The sequence below is a fragment of the Homo sapiens genome, chromosome 12 (genome assembly GCF_000001405.40).
Source record: "Homo sapiens chromosome 12, GRCh38.p14 Primary Assembly".
Classification (NCBI taxonomy): Eukaryota; Metazoa; Chordata; class Mammalia; order Primates; family Hominidae; genus Homo; species Homo sapiens.
In genome coordinates this window covers 5,026,783-5,033,929 of record NC_000012.12, presented here as the reverse complement: position 1 = coordinate 5,033,929, position 7,147 = coordinate 5,026,783, and the positions used below count along the sequence as shown (strand labels likewise).

Here is a 7,147-nt window from a genome sequence, read left to right as displayed (position 1 = left end):
GAGCCTCATGTCTCTCATTTGAAAGAGGAGAAGATGGCATCCAGCCCGCCAGGTTATCACCCAGATTGATGATACATGAAAAGTAACTGGGACCCCACAAGCCCCAGTCAGGGTTTGCTCCGTTGCCATCATTCTTATCATTGTCCATCTACCGAGTAGGAAAACACAGGAAGACCATGTAACCTTTGTCAGCTACTCTCTCCACTCCAGTTTTCATGCAGGTACACATACTGCCTCAGGACATCTTTCCTTTTTTTTTTTTTTTTTCTTGAGATGGAGTAGTCACCCAGGCTGGAGTGCGGTGGTGCGATCTTGGCTCACTGCAACCTTGCCCTCCCTGGTTCAAGCGATTCTCTTGCCTCAGCTTCCCGAGTAGCTGGGACTACAGGCGTGTGCCACGACACCCAGCTAATTTTTTGTATTTTTAGTACAGACGCGGTTTCACCGTGTTAGCCAAGATGGTCTCAATCTCCTGACCTTGTGATCAGCCCGCCTCGGCCTCCAAAATGCTGGGATTACAGGCATGAGCCACCACGTCTGGGTCATTTTTTTTTTTCTTAAGAGATGAGGTCTCACTCTTGTTGCCTGGGCTGAACTGCAGTGGCCTTGTCCCCATTTCTTACTCCAGGTTTTCAGTGAGTCTGTGAAGCTTGTGTACATTGCAAGGAGGCTGTATTGGTCAGGGTGCAAGCAGAAACGCAGAACCTCTAAGAGGTATGTGTAGTAAATAATCAATTACAGGGACTCGACCCTATGCAATCCCGGGAGCTGGTTGAGAGTCTCTATAGGGCTACTGTCTTTCTGTCAGATGCTGGAACTCCAGGGCCCCAGGGAATGCATCAAGAAGGGAAAGTGGGAACCAGAGCCGCAGCCGGTGCTGGCATTGGTGCTGGAACTGAGGCTGGGACCGCTGCCGGGGCTGGGGCTGGCGTGGCTGGAGGAGCACTTGCTGGTACCGCCGGTGTGGCCATCTTGTGGAGAAAGAAAGCCTGGGAGGACCATGGCAGTGATGTTCACACCTCTGACAGTGAAATATGTATACTGTGACACTGAACGCATTGGAGTTGACCTGATCGTGAAGACCTGCTTTAGCCCCAACAGAGTGATTGGACTCTCAGGTGACTTGCAGCAAGTAGGAGGGGCATCCGCTCGCATCCGGGATGCCTTGAGCAGAGTGTTGCAATATGCAGAGGATGTACTCTCTGGAAAGGTGTCGGTTGGCCGCTTCCTGGTGAACCTGGTTAACCAAGTACCCAAAATAGTTCCCGATGACTTCGAGATCATGCTCAACGGTAACATCAACGACCTGTTGATGGTGACCTACCTGGCCAACCTCACACAGTCACAGATTGCCCTCAGTGAAAAACTTGTAAACCTGTGAATGGAGCCCAAGCAGTACGCCTGCTGGTCTAGGTCTTAACCCCAGGACTCAGAAGTGAAGGAGAAATGGGTTTTTCGTGGTCTTGAGTCACACTGAGACAGTCAACTGTGTGTGACTCTAATAAACATGGCCTACTTTTTGTAAATTAAAAAAAAAAAGAAGGGAAAGTGGATGTAATGTGGGAGAAGGCAAAGACAAGCTGGGCCCCTCAGGGCAGAATGGAGCCCATATCTCTGTCCTCACTGCCTCCAACCCTGATGACGTGCTTGTCCTAAAGGGGAAGGTGGCTCCCTCTGTCATGGAGCTAAAACACATACCTGGTCCAGGAATCAGAGAAGCTGGTGAAGGATTCAGAGAAAAGCAGAACATGTGCAGGCCCACCTGCCGCCACCCCAAGGGCATGAGTCACAGATCAGTGACAATGTGCCTGAGCTGCAGAAGCACCTGCCCCACCTTCTGACAGTGAAAAGTAACACGGCTGCCACTTCACTTTTGTCCTTCAAATTTCAAGCAAAAATGTCTCTTATTCCCCACTCTAACTGGGAACTTGCAGGGAAAAGAATTCTGGGAAACATATTTCAGCCTGGCCCACTTGACACATTACAAAGCCGCCACAGCAATTGTTGAAAAACCTAGACGAGCCCCTTACAGTGAGTTCACATATTCACAAGCTGCAAGGTTCTCAACTCTAATATAAAAACATAACTTTTTTTTATAACTGTTTCATCTATTTTGTGCCACATTCAGTCCCTGCAAAGGCTCTTCAAAGAAAGAGGCTGTATAGTGTATACTGAGGTACTAGTCATAGACATTTAGGTGTCTAATTGAAGTGTAACAGTGATTTTTTTTTAGGGAACATGTAGGAAATGTGTTTCTACACTAAGCTAAGAATCCTTGCTATCTGAGGCAGGGCTAAAAGGCATCCGAATTCACAATAGAGTGGAGGAGAAAGTCATAAACATCATCAGTGACCTTGGGGCCAGTTGTAGAAACCAGGAAATGGTGGAGCAGAAGGACCAGGAGGTACCAGTAATGAGGAATGAGTTACAGAAACATGACTGTAGGCAATTATGGAGACCGCTGGACAGTCTTTAGAAGTCTGCTGTCTTCAGGTCTGATTCTGGAGCTCTGAAAGACGCACCTGTGTTTCGTTTTTGGCTCTTTGAGAATCTGAATACGCATACATACCGTTTTTTTCCTCTTCTTTTAAAAGTAGTCTATTTTTACCTTTCTTTCCTCTGCATCTTCTCCCTTTTCCCCTCTTCTCATCCTGATCCCATCTTGATATTTTGCAACCAGAGAACTGAATGGTAACTTTGATTGCCACAGAAGCACTATATTTGTAAAAGAAAGAGGGGAGGCAAAGACACAGGATGGCGGTAGATAGCAGAATATAGAAGCCTAGTATCAATTTTTTTAGTAGGATAAGTTACATTACAAGATAGGATTCAGTTCCAGGGTGTGCGAACTGCCCTATAAGAAGAAATTATTTTCGTCTTGACCCAGTCCATTAGGACACAGAGCCCCAGATAGGGAGTCAAGAAGCCGAGGTCCCAACCCTAGCTCTGTCAATATATTAATTCTTGACAAGTCTCTTCATTTATGGAGTGCATTTTGTTCAATGACTAATAAGAGTCATTAGATATTAAGGTCAACTGAAACTTGATAGAGCTGTAGTTCAAAGATAGCTACCACTCGGTACTATCAATGTACTGTTGCTATAGATGTGAAGACTATTATTGGCCTCCCCTGACAAACAGTCTCTGCTTGGCCAAACTTTAATCAGGCTTCGAACCTTCTCCTAGGTCCATCTGTGTACTCCTAAGTCTAGTTTTAGCAAATAATCTCCCATTCTTGATACCTGATCACCCTTCACTTCTGATAAGGTTCTTCGTCCTCCACTATGTTGTAACCAAAACACAGGTCAGTTTCTTGCCACATGCAGAATCCAATGAACAAGAGTAAGACTTGGTACAAAAATAGTGAATTTATTCCGAAGTGAGCTTGGGGAAGGGGCACAAAACTTCTTGCCTTTAAATGTGCTGCTTCACCTCTGGAGCAGATAACAGACACTTTTACAAGGTAAGGGGGAAAGTGAGCAAGGGCAGGGGTTCCTCCTGCAAGCTTGGTGTCTTATCTACCAGACCTTTGAGTCATACCTTCCTGGGCAGAAATAAGTTGGAAAAGGGGTCAAGCTGGCATGCTTTTGATATGCCCTTCTGGTGGATGAAAGTCTTGAGGCAATTCCCAGAGGGTGGAAGTTCCAGGCCACCTGCTGGAGGTGACAGTTCCCTGGAGGGTGTGCTTTGGCCTGCAAATCCACTGTCAGCTCTGGAAGAGATATCTATCTTGGAGCACACAGTTAGAAGAACTTGCCCTGCAGGGAATGTCTGGTGAGGGGGAAGGGAAAGGTTATATTTGCATTCCTAAAGGGCTAGATGGAAAGGAGAGAGAAGAGAAAATAATAAAAAATAATAATAACTCATTCTTTTTCCTAGAAAAAAATGGGGGCACTCAGTTCAAATGTCCCTGGTGATGTATGTTCACCCTGGCCTATCTTCAGCAAGAGTCCATGAGGTCAGTTTAGCCAGAATGCCCCGTACCCTGATGTTCCTTTTAGTAATTTTCCATCCACTGACCTCCCACCCTGTTCCTTGGCTATATATTTCCAGTTGCCCATGCTATATTCAGAGTTGAGCCCAATCTCTCTCCCCAACAGCCAGACCCCTTTGCAGTGGTCCGCATACCTTTCACAGTGGTCTTTAATAAAATCATCCTTATCTTGCTTTAACACATATCATTGATTAATTTTTTTTCCGTTAACATCCCTTAGATTCTTACTCCAAGAAACCTCCCTATTAACATGGAATGAGTCCATGGTCTGTGCAAAATTTAGTTCTTAGATGTGCATAATGTTTATTTTTTTTATATTTTTTTATTATACTTTAAGTTCTAGGGTACATGTGCACAACGTGCAGGTTTGTTACATATGTATACATGTGCCATGTTGGTGTGCTGCACCCATTAACTCGTCATTTACATTAGGTATATCTCCTAATGCTATCCCTCCCCCCACTCCCCCACAACAGGCCCCATTGTGTGATGTTCCCCTTCCTGTGTCCAAGTGTTCTCATTGTTCAATTCCCACCTGTGAGTGAGAACATGCGGTGTTTGGTTTTTTGTCCTTGCGATAGTTTGCTGAGAATGATGGCTTCCAGCTTCATCCATGTCCCCACAAAGGACATGAACTCATCATTTTTTATGGCTGCATAGTATTCCATGGTGTATATGTGCCACATTTTCTTAATCCAGTCTATCATTGTTGGACATTTGGGTTGATTCCAAGTCTTTGCTATTGTGAGTAGTGCCGCAAGAAACATACGTGTGCATGTGTCTTTATAGCAGCATGTTTTATATTCCTTTGGGTATATACCCAGTAATGGGATGGCTGGGTCAAACCATATTTCTAGTTCTAGATCCCTGAGGAATCGCCACACTGTCTTCCACAATCGTTGAACTAGTTTACAGTCCCACCAACAGTGTAAAAGTGTTCCTATTTCTCCACATCCTCTCCAGGATCTGTTGTTTCCTGACTTTTTAATGATCGCCATTCTAACTGGTGTGAGATGGTATCTCATTGTGGTTTAGATTTGCATTTCTCTGATGGCCAGTGATGGTGGACATTTTTTCATGTGTCTGTTGGCTGCATAAATGTCTTCTTTTGAGAAGTGTCTGTTCATATCCTTTGCGCAGTTTTTGATGGGGTTGTTTGTTTTTTTCTTGTAAATTTGTTTGGGTTCTTTGTAGATTCTGAATATTAGCCCTTGTCAGATGAGTAGATTGCAAAAATTTTCTCCCATTCTGCCCAAGAATGAGGTTGCCACAGGAAGACTTGATTCAGGGAGATTAGCAACCCGCCCCATTTTCACTCTTTTTTTTTTTTTTTTTTTTTTTTTTTTGCTTTTTGGCACAAAATCCTTTCACTCCCACCCTCTGACCAGACTGGCTTTTTTACTTTCCCTAGAGCAGTGGATGTGGCTAAAGGCTTTACTTTGTAAGCATTTACATGGTCCTTACAATGAAAATCAAGTCTGGTCTTTGTGTCTGGACCCCCAAGACCCAGCTCAGTGCCTAGAAGGCAGCAAACCCCCAATATTTGTGTGTTGAATGCATGAGAGGTCAACAGTGGGGTCAAGTATGCAGGTCAATAATGAAGACCTGATTAGCAGATCAAATAAATACTTCAATAATCATCAGAAAAAAAGAATAACAATCCTGGATTCATCACATTATAATATTAAATTTTTATGAGTAAAAATAGGCATTGCAGAAAACAGGAAAATACAAAACAATAAAAAAATCCATAATTTCACCATCTAGTGAACATTTCCGTGTTTATGTTTTATATATAATTCTTTTCAAAATAGAGATTTTCCTACTTTTTTATTTAACATTGCATTGCTAAATTATTAAATATTTTTCAAGAAGGGTTTGTAATGACTGTGTTATTATTCTACCAAAGTATATTTATTAGAGCCAAATGCACCTCCTATCCTGATTCTATACATGAAAAATGCACTAAAAAAAAAAATGATGTGAACTGCCCAGCATCCCTCCCACAGCCAGGAAGAGGACAAAGGTAGATTCTGAGCTCAGATGTTCTGAGAATCCAGAACTGCCTCCCTCGCGAATGTGTCTCTAACTTTATAATGGCTGTTATGCATGGCTGGTTTAAGTCACTCTTCCCTAATTTTATTCAGACACCTTTGTATGCCTTACCCCCACTAAAATACAAGATTCCTGAAACCAGGGTCTTTTATTTCTCAGTGTTCTATTCCCTCCTCTTCCCACCACATATCCCTGTCCAGCGTCTAACAGAACAGCTGAAGCTTTCACACTGGGCGACCTTAAATCCTGTTTGGGAGGGTTTGAATTTCAAAAGCCCCATTAAAGCTCTCCATTTCCTTTGTAACAAACATTTTGCCCAAAGAGTACTCAGGGACCGAGGACAAAAAGCAAGCACTTGCTTCTTTAGAAAGATGTTCCTCCATGTATATGGAGAATTGCAAGAAAAAGAGAAAGGGAGGGTAGGAAAGGAGGAAATCAAATCATCTTTTCTTCTGATTCCTGGCTCCAAGAGGACTGGTCAGGCTGCAGCAGCTCTTGGGGACATGTGGTCAGCTGAGTGGACAGTGGAGTATGTATGGGGGTGGGTTGGGAGGAGAGGTCTCCACAGAATTTTTAGCAGGAAGAGGACAATGAAGGCCACTGGGAGGTGGTTTTTATCTCTCAATTAGATGTACTCTGATTTATGAGGTGACAGCCAGGAGCCCAAACCGTCAGTTGCTGGAAGCTCATGGGAGACAGGGGGTGGGGGCCTGCCCCCTACTTCTGTCTCTGGAACATTCCCTCCCAGTACTCTGAGCCTCCTTTTCTCTGAGCAGTAGCCCAGCCCTGCTATGTTATATACTTAAATGTCTACCACCACCCTTCCTTGTCATTATCTTAAACAGTTCATAGAGATGAACGTCTACAATATTAGTTAAGAATTTTGGTATTTTTGCTAAATATAAACCACTTTGGTTTATCATATTCACACAATCAACCTACACTAATGAACAATACCTACAAAGCACTCCTACATCAGAGCTGGAGTTGTTACATAGTAGTACAGGATAGAAAAATGAAGGGCCTTCAGTCCATTGAGAATTTCCCCCAAACTCTCTCTGGGACACTGCCTCACAAAGGCTCTCCCCAGCAAAAGTC

General features: G+C 43.7%; 1 pseudogene, besides 2 other annotated features; it reads left to right on the top strand.

The window, feature by feature from the left end:
* Positions 378–877: an enhancer, noted in NCBI's record as "H3K4me1 hESC enhancer chr12:5142219-5142718 (GRCh37/hg19 assembly coordinates)". NCBI's record gives its function as "activates a minimal SCP1, AML or CMV promoter by ChIP-STARR-seq in naive and primed H9 embryonic stem cells {active_cell/tissue: H9 hESC(naive and primed)}" and the evidence as "EXISTENCE:reporter gene assay evidence [ECO:0000049][PMID:30033119]".
* Positions 989–1,530, top strand: LOC390282 (eukaryotic translation initiation factor 3 subunit F pseudogene; annotated as a pseudogene).
* Positions 6,016–6,719: an enhancer, noted in NCBI's record as "OCT4-NANOG hESC enhancer chr12:5136377-5137080 (GRCh37/hg19 assembly coordinates)". NCBI's record gives its function as "activates a minimal SCP1, AML or CMV promoter by ChIP-STARR-seq in primed H9 embryonic stem cells {active_cell/tissue: H9 hESC(primed)}" and the evidence as "EXISTENCE:reporter gene assay evidence [ECO:0000049][PMID:30033119]".